At 34.4% G+C, this 18,735-nt stretch overlaps 1 pseudogene; it reads right to left on the reverse strand.

The window, feature by feature from the left end:
* Window positions 1-1,668: 1,668 nt before the first annotated feature.
* LOC101930041 (UDP-glucuronosyltransferase 2B10-like) overlaps window positions 1,669-18,735 on the reverse strand; it is a 47,384-nt pseudogene continuing 30,317 nt past the window's right edge.

The raw sequence follows: 18,735 nt of genomic DNA on the forward strand, positions 1-18,735 counted from the left end.
CTCAACCATGATTATAAGTTTCCTCAGACCTCCCCAGCCATGAGGAACTATGAGTCAAATAAACCTCTTTTTCTTATAAATTACTGAATCTCAGGTAGTACTTTACAGCAGTGTGAAAACAGACTAATACACCATGTTATTTTAATTACACTAGCTCTAAATATAATTTGAAATAAGGAAATATGATGACTTCAGCTGTTTCTACATTTTGCATATTGTTTTGGCTATTTAGAGTGTTTCCAGGATCATAAATTATAGTTTTTTTTAATAGAATATGTCATTGGGATTGTGATAGGGATTACACCGAATCTGTAAATCACTTCAGGTTGTATAGATACTTCAACATTATTAAATATTTCAGTCAACATAATATATCTTTCCAAATTAGTGTATTCTTTCCTTTCATTCATCAATGTCTTATAGTTTTTAGTACAGAAGTTTTTTTAATTACTTGGTTAAGTTTATTCCTATATATTTTTTATGCTATTATAAATTGGACTGTTTCTTGATAGTTATTTGTTAGTATACGAATAATAATACAATTTTGTATGTTGATTTTATATCCTGCAAATTTACTGAATTTGTTTTACTTCTAGTAGTATTTTGTAGAGTCTTTACAGTTTTCCACACATACTATAATGTCATCTGCAAACAGAGGTAATTTTACTTCTTTTCTTATTTAAAAACTTGTTTTATTTTTATTTTTCTTGCTGATTTGTTCTAGCTAGGACTTACAGTACTATGTGAAATAGAAGCAGCAGGAGTGAGCATCATTACCCGGTTCTGATATTAGATAAAATTTTTTCAGATTTTTTAATTGAGTATGAATTTAGCTGTGAGGTTTTCATATGTATCATTCCTCATGTTAAGGTGATTTTCTTATATTTCTAGGGTGTTAAAAGATTTTTTTTTTTTACTCATAGAAACTGTTGAATTTTTCAAATGCTTTTATTTGCACCTATTGAGATAACAGTTGCTTATTATTCATTATTTTGTTAATGTGGTATATCATATTTGTTAATTTTGAACATTATCTTTCATTCTAGGGATAAACTTGTAATGTCTTTTAGGAAAGCAGTGACACTGAGTATGGATGCATAGAAGAAGCCAAACAATACTACTGTTCCTGCAATATCAATAGGAAGAATAGGAAGAGTGAGACTTCTTGCCCAATTTAATTATTGAATAGTTTCTTTGGCAACAGTAAAAAAAAATAGAAATCTGCTCAAAATGAAGCCAAAGTATTCTGAGCATATGAAAAACAGTACCTGCTCCAAATGAAGCCAAAGTATTCTGAGCATATGAAAAACAGTACTGACACTGTAAGTGAACTTCTGAATATAGTAATTTCCATGCACAGTGTGTGAAACATCGTTAAGCTCAGTAAAGTTTTTTGTGTCATTTGTTAATTAGAATAATAACCTTAAAACCCCACAGGGTTTTTTTATTATTTTTATTTATCCTAGTTTTTAAATATTTGACTTGGAATATTTCCAACTTAAATAGATACTAAGTCTCTGGAAAAGAAGTTTTTCACTTAACAGGGTCAATTGTGAAATGATGTTTTGTCACAGGGGGAAGGAAATTTTCCATTTCCACCACTTCATGCTGCAATAAACTGGACAACTCCTAATTTTTGGTCATTCCAGCTTCAGGCCTTTGATATAACTAATCCTTTTTCTCCTTCTTTCCTGTTTTGACAAACTTTCAGAAACAAAACAGGCAATATTTTGTGATGATGAATATCACATTTGCCACACAGGCCAGCAGGAACCCAATCACATCCAAAGAGTGGTACTGAAACCAGGTGAGGTCACGGGCTGCAACCCGAAGGTGCTTGGCTCCTTTGTGGCGCATGACAAACTCAATCCAGAAGACCGCTTGATCCCGGGGCTTCGTTGGCTGATCATGATGAATCCTTGATAATTTCAAAGCATTCTCTTCATAGCTAAGGATAAACAGAAAAATACCAACATAGAAAGTAATTTTTTTCCTAAATATATCAAGTCTATGGAAAGTCTTTGAAAAATGTTACACAAATAATTCAAAGTAAATATTATAGAATTGACATAGAAATTGAATGTTTTAAATTGGGTCATCATAGAAAGTTTGGTTTTAAATTATAATTTTATCATAGGCAAAATTTTTTAAAAGTGAAATGGAGTCAGGTGGGAAAGTTAACATCTTTCTACCAGAGGAAATATGATGAGCCACTCTAAGTGCTATAAGTAAGATAATAGAAATGCAATCTGAGAATGATCATTTTGATACACATAGTTTTTGAGAGACGGTTGTGCTCTCTTGCTCAGGCTGGAGTTGTTCCCTTTATCAGGGCTCACAGTAGCCCTGATCTTGTGGGCATAAGCAATCCTGACAACTGAGCTTACTGAGTAGTTGGGACTACGAGCTCAAACACTCTGCCTGGCTTATTTTTAAATTTGTTTGTTCTAATGGAATCTCGTTATGTTGCCCAGGCTGGTCTTAAATTCCTGGACTCAAACAGCACTCCTGATTCACCTCCCAAAGTGCAGGGACTGCAGGCATGAACCACCGTGTTTGGACTATTTTGATATTTTAAGAAATAATTGTGTTCAGTGGTTGAAATGCCCTCTAACTAATCTCTCTGCTTCTACTCTACTCTTCTGTCTTCTGCTATATTTTCCTTCCAGAAGCCAGAATAATGTTTTTTTTTGAAATTAATGTCAGATTATGACACTCCACTGATTAAGATTTCCATCTGGATTCTCATCACATTAAGAAGAGAATCTGTAATGGGAAGACATGAATGAACACATGGAGGGGAACTACACACACTGGGACCTAGCAGAGTGTAGAGGGTGATAGGAGGGAGAAGATCAGAAAAAAATAATTTGTGTTTACTAGGCTTAATACCTGGGTGACAAAATAATCTGTACAACAAACCCCCAAGAAATAAGTTTGCCTATATAACAACTTGCATTTTTTAACCTGAACATAAAGTAAAAGTTAAATAAAAAATAAAATAAAAAAGAATGACATGCTTTTTAATAGAAAAAAAGGGAATAAGATCTGTTTTTGGTCTACAGAACTTGACATGGTCAGGCACTGGCAACTTCTCCTAACACTTTCCCCCTGCATACTCTCTTCTAGGGACACTGGGCTTCTATTAATCTTGAAGCTCTCAAAGGCATTCTCACCTTAGCCCCTTTACACCTTTTGTCTCCTCTCTCCCTTTTCAGAGCATTCTGTCTTGCAATAAAATGAGGCTTGCTTCTATCTCTTTTTGAGGCTTCCCCTTAAATGATACTTGTTAGAGAGGCTTTTCCTGGCCACACTATATAGTACCTGTAGAATTTTCTCCAGTGTTTCATGCTTATTTTGCTATTTAATTTCTAGAACTTTAAAATATTTTATATATCTTCTAAAATAAAATCTTAAGTATGAGATACATAAGATAAATATACACACACTAGTGAGTAACTCAAAATTTTAAGATTATGTTAAATATTATCCTGAAATAAAGACACCTACTTCTTAGGTTCTGGGTTATTAAAACCTGCCTAGAGGAACTCTCTCCTTTTGGACCATTTTAGTCACTGTTTTCATTCTCAATTTAAGTATTAACCTGAATTCTAATTTAATAAATTAACATTACTTGTTTATATAATTGAATTATATAATATATACTTGTGTCTTTTTTTGTATAGCAGTTATTGGTTAATTACATTGCTGTATAGTATTCTGTTGATTGACAAATACCACAGAGTATTTCTTTATTTTATAACTGATGGACACCTGGGTTGTTTACATTTTTGGACATTATTAGTTATTCTGGTATAAATATATTTATCTATATGTATGTCATTAGTTTTACATATTAATTTCTGTTAGATATATAATTGGGAGAAGAGTTGCTGAGATAAATGTGCATGTATAATTACAATATTTTGTTGACTGAATTTTTTAAAAATGTATTTTTAATTTCCAAAGTTTAGAGAATTTTTTAGTTATCATTCTTTGTATGATTTCTAATTTATTTCTAGTATAGCTAGACCACATACTTTTTATGATTTTGAATCTCAACAAACTAATTGAGTTTTGAGTTTTTGCCCAGCATATGATCAGTTCAGGTCACTATTTCCTATACTTTTAAAAAATGTTTATTTCCAGTATACACACATGCACACACACACTATATGTATATGTCTACACATAGAATATAGAATATTTGAAAATATTTGAAAGTATAGAATATTTGAAAATCATTCCAGTGAGTAGTGATCACAGAGAAAGGTCAGGGCAGGACATTACAGAAGAAAGTTAGTTTGAAACAGGGGAACTTAGTTTTAAATAAACAATTATGAGTTTGAATGATAATTTATTGGCAAATAATTCTTCACTCAAGTTTTAAAAGACAGTCACAAGATCAAGCCTTTCTTTAGCAAGAAATTCTTGCATCTCAACATAGAGTGGTATGTAAAGGTAAGAGTTTAAAAGCAGGGAAAATGATAAAATTGTATATTAGTTACTGAGACATGCCAACCTAATGGAATGAAACACAAATTGTTAATAGTAACTGCAAGAAATTAATTTAAAATTTGTATTTACTGATAATATCTGAGGTAGGAAAAAATGTACAGGAGAAAAGACATGGTTGTGGTTTCTGTCTTAATAAGCAGAAGGCTGATAATGACATTAGGTAAAATGAGTTTTAAAAAGCTCATCTAGCAAACGCATAAAGAGCTGATCACTCGGTGTTTTGAGCCCTCATGGAGGTGATAGATGTCTGGAGAGAGAAACTAATGAGAGAAGAAAGAATAAGTAACCAGTTAGGCAGATAGTTAGGACAGGTTCTTGGTAGAAGTCCTCCCCAAAAAATGACAATGTGGAAGAAATCAAGCTGCAAGCACAGATAAGGAAGCAAAGTCCAAAGCCCTTGTCTTCTGTGCAACCAGTGAGCTCCGCCTACACACGGTGGCCTTTGGTGAGCACATTCCTTTTCTTTCTGGACACACTCAGGTAAAGGAACTTGCACAGGGTGCTTGCCTAAGACAGACCTGTAGCTGTATAGATAAGGAAACTTACACAGAACCAGACACGTCTGCAGTGACACATACGCAATAAGCAAAATAAAACAATATGCAGTAACTCAGGCTAAGGACCTGCATGCACACTAGAGAGAAGAGGTGGAGCTAACAAGAATTTGTATGTATGCAAATAAGACATCCAGTCCTAACCTGTTTTTCGTGCCTTATGTGAATGAAACACTCTGCCCTATTAGCTTTTTTTTTTTTTTTTTTTTTTTTTTTTTATAAAAGTCTTTGGATTCAACTGTGAAATGAATGACAACCCTCTCAAGAACTCCTGGTAATACCTCAAACAACAAGACTGCTCCAGTGACCCTAGGCTGCTTCGGTGTAAAAAGTAAAGTAGAGATTCCTCTTCAAAGACTTCCCCTCCATCTAATTAAGAATAAGTAGTAACTTCTCTTACAAGCAAAATTTATTCAAAGACCTGTGCTAACATTCTTAAATATCTGCTAACCATAATAAAGAAATCAATGTATTTTATGTTCTCAGCTCCCACAATTTAGTGTAAATATTTGCCCTGGCATGCTTACACTGGTCTAAGCAAGCATTAGGTCATAGCCTGTTCCTCTTCCTTATTTGAAGGTGTTTTTACCTTTCTCAGTATACCACAAGTTACTTCTGCCTTCCTTTGTTCTCCTCTGCCTTTGCCTCTTTTAAAAAGTTCTAAGTTGCTAGCCAATCAGGACAAATACACAATGTGATGTCCTGTTCCTTCCAATAGAAACCCCGGACACAGCAGTAAGCTTGACATGTCAAGTTATAAATGACCGTCTCCTTTATTTGGTGTACTCTCATGGCAAAACTGCTGATGTGTGCACCCTTTCTGCATAAAGTAAAAAAAAAAATTGGCCTCGCTGAAGAAATTAAATTTATGTTCCAGTGCTATTTCTTTACGGCACTGAAGAACAAGGATTTTAAAGATTCACTAACACATGTAACAAGGCAGAAACAACTCAACGTTAAAACATGTGGAGTCTCACTTACAATCAGCACACATTGATGCACCACACAAAAAAGCCTAGGCTACAGCTCGGTTCCTCCTTTTAAGAAAAGAAGTGTGAAAGAATTTAAGAATGAGGAAAGACAATGAGAAAAACTGCTTTGGAACAATTTTTTGGTTTCATGGGTCTTCCATTTGAAAGCATTTGTGTAAAATGGAGAAGTGTGAGGGCATTCCACGTCTAATGGTTTAGGAACACCCCCTAGTGCTGTGTTGCCATGGAGCTTTCAGAAGATGTGGTTGTTTAAAAGTGCGTAGCAGCTTCCCCCACCTTCCTCCTGCTCCAATCAGGTAGGTCATGTTGACTTCCCTTCACTTTCTCATAATTATAAATTTCCTGAGGCCTCCTCAGACAGGGTACCTATACAGCCTAGGGAACTGTGAGTAATTTAAACCTCTTTTCGTCATAAATTACCCAGTCTCCGGTAGTTCTTTACAGCAATATGAGAACAAATGTGAAAACAAAGTAATACAGAAGATGTGAGAACAATGTGACAGCAAACTAATACAGAAAACTAGAGAGGTGGGGCATTACTGTAAAGATACCTGAAGATGTGGAAGCAACTTTGGAACTGGGTAATGGGCAGAGGTTGGAATAGTTTGGAGGGCTCCTAAAAAGACAGGAAGATGAGAAAAAGACAGGCAGATCCACAGGGCCAGAGCTTCCCAAAGCCTTGAGAGCCCTCCTATTGCCCTGGTATGCCCTGGATGTGAGACATAGAGTCAAAGGAAATTATTTTGGATCTTTGAGATTGAATGAGTGCCCTGCTGGGTTTTGGACTTGCCTGGGGCCTTTGTTCTGGCCATTTTTTTTCTTTTAAAATGGGAACATTCACTCAGTTGCTGTATCCCCACTGTATCTTGGAAGTAACTCACTTGTTTTTTATTCTCCAAGCTCATAAGTGGAAGGGACTTGCCTTGTCCCAGATGAAATTTAGGATTTGGACATTTTGGGTAATTCTGGGATGTGCTAAGACTTTGGAGGACTGTGGAGAAGGCATGATTTTGTTTTAAAATGTGAGAAGGACATGAGATTTGGGAGGTTTGGCTCTATGTTCCCACCCAAATCTCATTTTAAAATGTGATGTGTTTCAGCTGTGTCAGCATCCAAATGTCATCTTGAATTATAGTTCCCATAATCCCCATGTGTTTTGGGAGGGACCAGGTGGGAGGTAATTTAATCATGGCACTGGTTATTCCCATGCTTCTGTTCTCATGATAGTGAGTGAGGTCTCATGAGATCTGATGGTTTTATAAGGGGCTTTTCCCCCTTTTGCTCAAAGGACACGTTTGCTTCCCCTTCTGCCATGATGGTAAGTTTCTTGAGGCCAGCCCAGCCATGCTGAACTGTGAGTCCATTGAACCTTGTTTTCTGTATAATTTACCCAGTCTTGGGTATGTCTTTATTAGCAGTGTGAGAATGAACTGTTACAAATTGTTATCTTCAGTGCTAGAGGTGGAGGCTGGTAGGAGGTGATCGAATCGTGATGGTGGTTTCTAATGTTTTAGCACCATCCTCCTAGTGTTATCTTGTGATACAGCTCTCATGAGATCTGGTTGTTTAAATGTGTGTGTCACCACCCCCAGCCTTCATGCTGCTCCAGCCATGTAGAATATGTTGGCTTCCACTTTACCATCTGGCATGATTGTAAGTTTTCTTAGGCCTCCTCAGTCATGCTACCTATACACCCTGTGGAATGTGAGTCAATTAAACCTCTTTTCTTCATAAATTACACAGTCTCAGGTAGTTCTTTTTAACAATGTGAGAATGGAGTATCAGACTTTCTAGTGCTCCAAATAGTTACATATTATGTTCTGTTTTGCACATTTTAAACTGATGGCCAAATTACGTTAAGTAAAAATTTAGACCCAAAGGCTGACATGTACTAGAAAATTTCTATGTTCTCTATTTTTCTATTTTTTTCCCCTACTTGCTTTAAGTCTACTGTTAGTTTTCTACTGATAAAAAAAAATCACTTTTTGGCTAGGACCATTGTTTTGGTGTTTTTTTCTTTTTATTATTATTATTATTACTTGTAAACCAGTGAGTTTGTATCAATATCTCATGTCTGGAGTTCTAAAGTAAAAGCTCTAGAATCTTTGTTATGAGTGTGTATGTGTCTGTTTATCTGCACATACGTGTATTTTTTGTGTGTTATAGCTACAAGGAACCAAATTAAATTAAAGTTAAGGAGACCTCATAAATTAAGGAAATAATAAGCCTAATGGCTTTTCAAGTCCATGTGACTTAAGTAAAATTTTTAATGAATAAGCTAGCTTTAAAATTATTGGTAAAGTAATACTAGAGATGTCTTAAGAATTGTCAGCATATTTCTTTCCACTTATTGATCAAGTGGTTTCATACTTATTCCTGCCAAATATTTTTTTTTCCTGCCAAATATTGTAAGGTGCCAAAATTTGGCCTAAGGTTTGTAATACTATGAACCCAGCCCAAAACAGAATGATCTTTGCTTGTGTAATTTTTAGTAAAGAAGACATTTAATATTATTGGTTTAGTGAAAGCAACTAAATCCTGAGTTATTGGTAAAATACCCATGTATTTAACCTTAAGTTTCTTAGTTAGGTAAATTCCTGAAATTCATAGGGTATAAAAATGTTTAACAGCAACAAAAAAATAATTAAATGATGACTGTCACAGTTTTTATAAATAATCTAAGTAAACTATTAAATAAATGTATTACGTGACTATACTAAAATGAATGTCATATAATTTGGAATCTAAAATTATATTAAATAATAGATATATGTTAAATGTATGGGTACTTTTCAATTTCAAAAATTATAAGGAAACTTTAAAAAATGGTTTTTTATTAAAAGACAATTATTTTTGTAGTTCAAAGTTTATTTAAACATTATTTATAATACAAGGCAAAAGACACTAGGGAATAAGAGAGATTTAAAGAAACATAAATATAAATAGGTACCTTTGGTAAGAAAGATTACAAGAAAACAAATCTTGTACGAAAAAATAAAATAACAGGTTAAGAAGATGTATGTTTAAGACAAACCCCAAAGCCGAAGTATGTTATGAAGAATCTGTTAAGTCATAGTAAGTTTAGTAAAATGAAATTTATTTAAAAAAATGTATAAAACATATGATTAAGTAGGCTATAATTAAAATGAGATTATAATAGTCTTCCTGGTAATTGGATATTAATATTAAAATTAGACAAATACAAAACTAATGAATTGGTTATAAAAATTTGTATTAAAATATTGAGTTATTCAATGCAAGAATCTTTCAGTTTTTAAACTGTATAATCAGTGTAATAGAAATTTAGTTTCTGCTGAACCCTGCTGCTTCAGCTCTTTCTCTGTTTTGAGAAGGCCTTGGATGGTAACTCTCTCCTTAAACTTTTGTTAAATTCTGTAACATTTCTTTTTATTATTAGTCTAAAGCAAAGGAGACAGTTTTTGAAAACAGGCAAATGAAAAACATTTTTCAATCTGCCTGCTGAAACCAGCTCAGTCGTGGAGACACTAACCCAGTGGTGCTAGAGGAATTAAAGATACAAACACAGAAATATAGCGTGTGGAGTGGGAAGTCAAGGGTCTTACAGCCTTCAAAGCTGAGAGCTTCGAACAGAGATTTACCCACACATTTATTGACAGCAAGCCAGTGATAAGATTTACTAAAAGTATTCCTTATGGCAAATAAAGGGATGGGCCGAAATAAAGGGATGGGCTCTGGCTAGTTATCTGCAGCAGGAACATGTCCTTAAGGCACAGATCGCTCATGCTATTGTGTGTGGTTTAAGAATGCCTTAAGCGGTTTTCTGCGCTGGGTGGGCCAGGTGTTCCTTGCCCTCACTCCGGTAAACCGCAAACCTCCCAGCATGAGTGTCATGGCCATCAAGAGCATGTCACAGTGCTGCAGAGACTGTTTCTGGCCAGTTTTAGGACTAGTTTATGGCCAGATTTTGGGGCCTGTTCCCAACATTTGCCTTTGTATGTCTGTTATGTCTATATATTACTTGTGTCATGTGGAAGTGATATTTCAATATCAAAATATATGAAAGAGCTCTAACCAACTGACTTAAAGAAAAGTTAATTGCTTATCACACTAATAAAAGCTAGCTTGGATACCTTTGAGTTCACATGACTATAGCAATATTTGGTAACATTAATTTGGAAAATTTAATCTCAAATTTCTCTCCAATAGTTTAAAATCTGAGTCATGTTATGTTAAATTAAGTAATCCTCAGTATGGTCACTGAGAATTTAGGTTACAAAGAGTTAAAATAGTTGTAGAATAAAAAGTTTTTTTGGGTGAGGTTTATAAAAACAGAAGGATGTGATTTTTGCTATTGAAAATGTAATTTTTTTTCTTTATGTTTTATTATACTTTAAGTTCTAGGGTACATGTGCACAATGTGCAGGCTCATTACGTAAGTATACATGTGCCATGCTGGCCCACTGCACCCATCAACCCATCATTTACATTAGGTATTTCTCCCAATACTATCCCTTCCCCCTCCCCCTACCCCACGACAGGCCCCAGTGTGTGATGTTCCCCACCCTGTGACCAAGTGTTCTCGAGGCTGAGTCAACTTAAAATTTATATATATACATATATATATATATATATGTATATATACACATATATATGTGTGTGTATATATATATGTGTATGTGTGTGTATATATGTGTATGTGTGTGTATATATATGATATATATGATATATATGATATATGATATATATGATATATATGATATATATGATATATGATATATATGATATATATGATATATATGATATATATGATATATATGATGTATATGATATATATGATGTATATATGATATATATATCATATATATATATGACCAGATGGATAAAGAGAAAAGTGAAAACTCAGGAAATAAGAAACTTTTGACTCTCAGGTGGCTACATGGTCTCCCATCTTCAAAAGCTGCAGCTGGGCTGCATTCAGTTACCAAAGGTAAAAGTTACCAGTGGAATTTAGAGATGGATGATAGACATACTCCCAGGGAGTTAGTTCAGTGAATGCATAACAAAATGGAAACTAATAAGAAAACTACAAAATGTTAATTCCCTTGGTTATTGCTATCTGTAATCGCTAAAATGAAAGTAAAAGAGTGCGGAGTTTTGCCTTAAGGCTTGACCAAATTTACATGTGGACTCTCAGCTCAGGCCACTAGCTTCAAAGCTAGACACACACACAGGCACACACACACACACACACACACACACACACACACACACACACATCTTAAGCCAGGGCAACAAAGTTACCTTTGAGACCTGTAGTTACCAAGAAGATAGCCAATGCACTTAAATAGAAAAAGAAGTTAACTATTAAACCCAGAGGGTATAATGTAAAGAAATTGCTCCTTTGTAGAATAATATAATCAGTTTCCTGAGAAACGTTTACTATAATGGACTGGAAAAATAGCTACTTTAAGGGCAATATTTTTTATTTTAAATGCTACAGAATGAAAAAGCAGGGGTTTATGCAGGTCCCACAGCTCACGATTAAGCAATCACTGAGGAGTATATGTGACCCAGCTTCACAAGCAGCCCAGTGGACTGAATAATTGCCACCATAAGGTTTGATTACCCTGAGAAATGGACTGCCCAACTCACCCTGTAAAATTCCAGGTGGAGTTCCCCAGATGAAGCACCTGATATGCTTCATATGCAAACCATATGGAACTGGCTTTATGATGACCAGAATATTATTCAATTAAATATACCTATTACCCTGGTCATAGTAAATGCTATGGTTTAGGGGGACCCTTCTACCTGGGCATCCCAGGTGACATTACTCCTGCAGAATCAAAGAGCTGTTTGAGAAGCCTTCCCAAATTTGCTGTCCCCCATGGATCTTACCGATGTTATTAAAACATTAGGGTAATTAAAAAATTGGGCAAGGTAAAAGGGAGTCAAAGGACTCATCTATCATGGTGGAAATCTTTAGATGATTATTAAGAAATAAAATAAAATAAAAATTGATAGGGTAAAAACAAAGGCTTTTACAATGCTATAAAAGTGGGGTGAACAAAAGGGAGCCCCTGCTGATCTTCAAACATTATAGGGACCTACACCAGTTTTTTTGTATTTGCCTTAGATTGGATTTTTTTTAAAGCAAAGTTTGTAATCTAATGGGAAAGCTGACATTGCCTGCGCAATGTTGAGGCAAGTTTAGATAAAAAATTGATAAAAGGGCTTGAGTCTCTTGGATCAACCCTCTTCTGGGAGGGTTAATTTTTTACCAGAAAGGTAAATTGGTTTGAAGATAAAGAAGAAAAGCTCCTGGGATCAGAGCATAAAATTGTAAATGTTGAGAGGATTATGAAATTTGAGATGTTTAAACAGGTTATATGTAAGGTGGTTGTGATTCCTTTACCTAAATGTTTTATGAAAATGGGTATTCTATCTGAATGGGGGAGATTTTCCTGATGTAGTTGTATAAAGTTGAAGGCATGTAAACCTGCTCTTTGAAAAATGCTATTTGGACAGCTAAGTGAGTACTAGCTAAAGTGCTGGTTGAGACAAATCCTTCACTTCATAGCCCTTTGTGGAAAGTTTATTTGGGCTTATGGCAAAAGCCTGTGAGCACTTTCAAATGACAATTACTGGGACTTTGGACTAGAGAATTTCCACTTGAGAAGTATTTACAGCTTTGCTATGGGATGTTAACTGAAACTACTTCTATGCTAGCAGAAATAATGGTGACTGAAAGAGTTCCATGATAAAATAAAAATGGTTTATACAGAATCTTGCTACCTGGGATGCAAGAAAGACATATTTATGAACAGGGAGCCTCTTTTTCTCCTTAGGATGGACTCTGACTATGCGAGGAGCTGTTATATTCTACAGTGCTTAATAAAAAGCTCTCATATTACAAGAGCTGCTTATCTTGTGAATGGCAGTTCAAAGGTGAATACATGCCTTCTTGTTTGGAAAGCTGCTGCTCCAGTTAAAGAGGAGTCAAAGAAATATTTTTCTTTTGAGTTTTTTATAGTTTAGAGCAATTGGGTAAAATTTGCTTTTGTAAGCAAATTTACCTCTCTGAGTTCTCCAAAATTTGCAAACTGTTCATGAGTCTTTTGATTGTGTGGTAATATTGTTATTGGTATAAGTTTAGTAAAAAATATATATTTTTAAAATAGGACAATTGGAGACACCAGTTATTTTACCAAGGCTTTGACTAGAATAACGTTTTTACGTAAAGTTCCAGTAAAGCTAACTTGAAAAGAGCCTATGTGGCCAAACAATTCTTGCTGAACTTTATGTGAATAATAAGGCCAAGTATAATAATCCTGAAACTTATTTTGCACACAAATTGAACTTTTTTTTAGTATGAAAAGCAACTAGAGAGAGAGACATTGTTTCAAAAGAAAAGTCACTTTTGTTTTTGAGTGCAGGTTGAATCATGACTCATTTCTTGGCTGCAATAATCTCCTAAAGAATACCAGGTTATCATTTTTCTTCATGTTTTTGTTTGGCACCCTAATGGAATAGTTTTTTTTTTTCTCCTCTGGCACCCACATTCTCTTTTGTCAAATTATTAATGTTATCAATGTCTCCCCCTAGTTTTAGTTCTGAGAAAATCAGAATCATGCTATTCCGAAGACTAGAGATGATTTGACAAAGCCTGTTAATCTCCTTCATTTGAAATCCTATTGGGATTGATTTGTTTTTTACTGCAAATGGCCTTCTGTAAAACAATACAAGTACCTTCCCTCTATGTCCAGGGACTACCACAGAAATGGTGGGACCATGAGATTGTAAGGGCCGGTTTTGAGGGATAGAATTAATTCAGACCCTCCAAGTCAAGAAGGGGAGATAAACAGCTGGAAAAACTAGGAACTTTGCTTTCTGAGCTATTATATGACACATTTTTATTTATCCCAACCATAAAGAATTTTCTGTTTCCTGTAGAACTAAAATAAAATTATTACAGAGGGAATATTATGATACCTCATGACAAAATGTCCTGGATATAATACTCACAATTATGAGATTTTATTTAGATAGATACATATTTGAAACAATTTTTTTAAGCCACATTAGATTAAATTACTAAAAGACTTCATAAAGTCTTGCAGCACAGCAAAAGCCTCTAAATTGCAAAAAAGCATTTTTAACAATGTTCATGTATTGTATAGCTAATTGGTATAGGTCAGTAACTAAAACAAAGACTACATTAGCTATGCATATAACAATTTAAGATAAGTTAGTTTTTTAACCTCAACTTTGGCTTTCTGTTTCTTGGGTTTTATATTACTTTAAAAATTTTAAGAGTTAATTATAATGCTTGTCCGTATTCATTCCTGTCTGGTCTAGTACATTTAAGTTGACTGTAAATATGTTGGCTCTAAGTCTCTTAGCCATAGGTGTCTCAACCACAGACAGTAGGAACCCAGGGCACATGCCATCCCAGCAATGCTATGGAACAAAATAAGAGTTTGCTGGCCATTGACCTTGCCTCTGGCAAACCCTGGCAAGAAGGGGAAAAATGTTAATGAAAAATAATATTCTAAGGCCCGCAATCATCTGAATGAACCCTTCCGCTCACAAAGGGCATTCCAAAGTTAACCTGAAAAGCTAGTTCAGGCCATTTTGGAAATGGGAGAAATGAGACGAGCTCCATTAGAGCCTCCTCCATTTTGGAATTCAGAAAAAGCTGACAGCATTACATCACCACAGAACAAAATACTGATAGAATACACTGTTTAAGTTTGAAAAGAAACATTTTTTTCTATTGATTCTAATGCTTTAGACAATAAGATAATTCTTTTAACCAACTGCCAATCAGAAAATCTTTGAATCTAAATATGACCTTCAGAATCTCACTTGCAGTTGCCCCACCTTTTCAGACCAAACCCATGTATCATTTACATGTATTGATTGATGTGGAACATCTCTCTAAATTGTATAAAACCAGGTTGTAGCCTGAGGACATTGGGCACATGTTCTAAACAGCTGAAGGCTGTGTTATGGGCCATTAGTCACTCATATTTGGCTCAGAATAAATCTCTTTGAATATTTTACAGAGTTTGACTCATTTCCTCACAATAATTTGACACTTGAACATGTGGGAACTCCCAGAAAACCCAGGACCCCCAAAATGTTTCCTGAACTTGAAACTAAAGTACCAGAAGGGGCCCATTGAAGGCCTTTCAAACTTTAAGCTCCTCTGATGGAACTGGTCAGTCCTCTTGAGCCCTGGATCTCCCTTTGGTTGACAGACATCAATTTTTCCTGAACTTATTTTTTTCCTAGGAAGTTGTTGTTTAGGATTCTAATTCTAGTTCTGGGGTGCATTCTGAAGAGTCTTCTCCATTGCCTTTTATCCAAAAGATAAACTCAATTGGCTTGTCTGCACATTTGCATGAAGATAGAACTGTCATTTTATAGATAAATGAGGGACTGAGCTCCTCAGCTTTGAAGAGAAAGAACATTTTGCTCCTCCCAGAAAATGAGCCCTGGATGACCAGAGGCTAAGTGGGAACATCTAGATGTTTGACTCCCATTCCCGTTATGTGCAGTGCCCCTACAGAAGATGCCCCAACATAATTAGTTTCTTCTGTGTTTAAATGTTTTTAACTGCTGAGATATTTAAAAGCTTGTAGAATCAATCTCTAAGAAGCAGACACATCATATTATTGCAATTTTTGTAGTTCAATTTACTATGGAATTTTTATGACTCTCCATCAAGTATACCTTCATGTTCATATATTTTCCTAAGTATATATGTACATATCACTTTATGTAGAAAGTCTTCCTCAAATTAAACTAGTGAAAATATTACTTGTTCACTCATGGATAGACATAGATTTATGTATCTGGATATATGGTCTAAAAATTTCAAAGAAGATCTATTTTCATAACATACCTTATTAGGAAAGTATATTCTGATATATTCTGATACATTTTCAGAAGATACTTCATTAAGAAAATATAAACAGACTAGAATTTAGCTTTTGTAGTACATGTTGAGCATCATTATTGCCTCAGACTCATATTTATCTATAAGTTTTCCCTCTTTAATAAAAAGACATTACTATAATTAAAAGTGCACGAATGCATTACTTTTTTCCTTTCTTACACTTTGTTATTTTTTCTTTCTAGTGGCATGACTATATGTTCAAAGTTTAATAAAGTAAAATATTCAGTGTATATTCCTTTTCTAGATATTAAAATGATTTGTTTTATAACCAATTGTTGATAAAAATATTTTTTATAGAAAAGAGAACTATAAAAATCTTTTTCATGTGTTAGAAATGATCATTATGCCTCTCTTCCATCCGATTGTTCAGGCACATCTCTTGTCAGACAGAAGAACTGCTCTTAAGTTGAGTTCTTTCTTCTCTGTGACTTGCTTTGCAAACCTTTTTCTGAATCCAGAGGCTGTAATGACCAATATTTAAAGGCAGGATTTGGAGATCTTTTGCCATTTATTATGCTTTCTTCAACATAGATTTTAAAAATTATTGCACAGGATATTTGGCTCTTTATTCCATCTGCAATTTATTTTTTCATATTATGATGGGAGAACAAGTAAAATGATTATATATATTTCTGATTTGTGTATCCTCAGTATTCCCGGTATTAAAGAAGTCAGAAATGTCTGGCTTAACAAAATAAGGCCAAGAAATAGTGAGATCTTGTTGCAGGAGAGAAATCATGTAACATTATAATCTAGAGAGACTGGGCTAAACCTGCGGGACCATGTCTATAATGCCTAACTAAAGGGAACTAGCCTCTTCCTTTATTTTGTGTATTATTATCCAGTTACAAAGGGTCATTACTAAAGTGAAAATAGTAACTCAAGCATATTTAAGGCCTCATGTGGAAAACATCTTTAGTCTTTCTAACCAAGGATTTTACCAGGTTGCATAGTTTTGTATAGGAAGTCAGTTACGACCACCTATAATTTTAAAGCAAAGAACATTTCCATTAAGAACTATTTTGTATTTCATGAAGGATTTGAATTTTAAACTCCCATGTAGCACAAAAGACTTGCCTAAACACCATGTTAAGAGACTTGGCCAAGTTTAGCTTAACTTATACGTGTACTAGGTCAGGAATTTGTCTTTAAAGGTCACCCTAACTTCCATGGTAGGTCTTGGCTCTAAAGAATATGATCCTGCCAAACTGCAAAACATACACTGTCTAACCCATGTTGCCTCATAATTTTCAATTATTTCCCTCTTAATTTTTATGTAATTTTTCATTTCCATGTAACCCACTAGTTCCTTGTTTTCCTCATTTTTATTCATATCAGTTTTCTCTTTAAAAGCCTCAATTACCTTTGTCTTAGTTAGAGTTCAGTTCAATTTATACAGTAGTCTCTATCTCCTACTTCAGTAGTCAGAATAAAATCTGTCTTGCCATTTTTAAGAAGGATCTTGCTCTGTTTTTCTTTGACAGGGACACATATAATACACATCATTGTGATTTGTTTATATAGAAGAGTATTCTTTACCTACGTAACAAACCTGCACATCTTGCACATGTATCTCTGAACTTACAATAAATGTTGGAAATGAAAAATAAAATAAAATAAAAATAAAAAAGAGGTTTCTAAAAATGCACAGTAGAAATGCACTATTTCTGACCTTCATAAATAAACAGCCTGAGTTTCCAGTGCATCTCATTTTTTTAGCTTAGAAATATACATGAGTAAGCATTAAAATGGAATTATTTTAGGTTTTCTGAAATTAAAATTGTATATTACTTAATATTTAGCAAAGAATAAAATATTTGAATAAATCAGGAAGGCACAAGTCTTGTGAAATATAGAGGAGAATTTTGCCACACCTTGATGAATAGTGGTGGCATTAAATGTCATGACCTTCCCTATCATGCCTGCCTGCCTTAGATATCAAACAGTGCTACCTTCTTTTTTTTCTTTCTTGTCTTAACAAACTTTTGATAATCAAACAAGGAACATATTATGAAAAAAGAGTAAAAATTGCCTCGCAGGCCAGCACAACCAGAGAGCAGTGCTGGAACCAGATGAGGTTTTTCGCAGGTGGCGGCAAGTACTTGGCTCCTCTGTGGCGCATGACAAACTTGATCCAGAAGACTTTTTGGTCCATGGGCTTCATAAGCTGATCATAATGAATGACCGATAACCATATAACATTCTCTTTACTGCTAAAGGAAAATCAAATAGACATAAACTTATGGAATATAAAATATAAATATGTGAAATTTTTGTGTAGATGTTAACAATTAGTGCCACATAAAAGTAGATGAAAAATAAAATATTTTATTTCCTGGTGGTTATAGAGATTTTGGTTTATGGGTTAGAATTTGTTGGATGCATAAGATTTCAAAATGTGAAAAGAGAATTTAAGAGAGAACAAGTATTTCCATCCTAGAAATTAAAATTAGTTAAGTCTGAAGGATAAAAAGAAATCATTTGAGGGTACAGAGGTTGAATTAGCCATTAATGAAATTGTAACGAACCTGATGTGCGTGTTTCAAAATAGTATCAAAGTCTAGAGATAGGAGACAAATCTGTGACAAGGTTCAGGTACATGTCAGGGCAAAGCTGATAAGAAGTTGACATTGATCAGGAATTAGTACTGACATTACATCAGTGAATTAGTGATTAAAAATATAAAAGTAAATGGCCTTAGTTTGAATCATGACCTGATATCTAC

Source organism: Homo sapiens, chromosome 4 (assembly GCF_000001405.40).
Source record: "Homo sapiens chromosome 4, GRCh38.p14 Primary Assembly".
Lineage (NCBI taxonomy): Eukaryota > Metazoa > Chordata > Mammalia > Primates > Hominidae > Homo > Homo sapiens.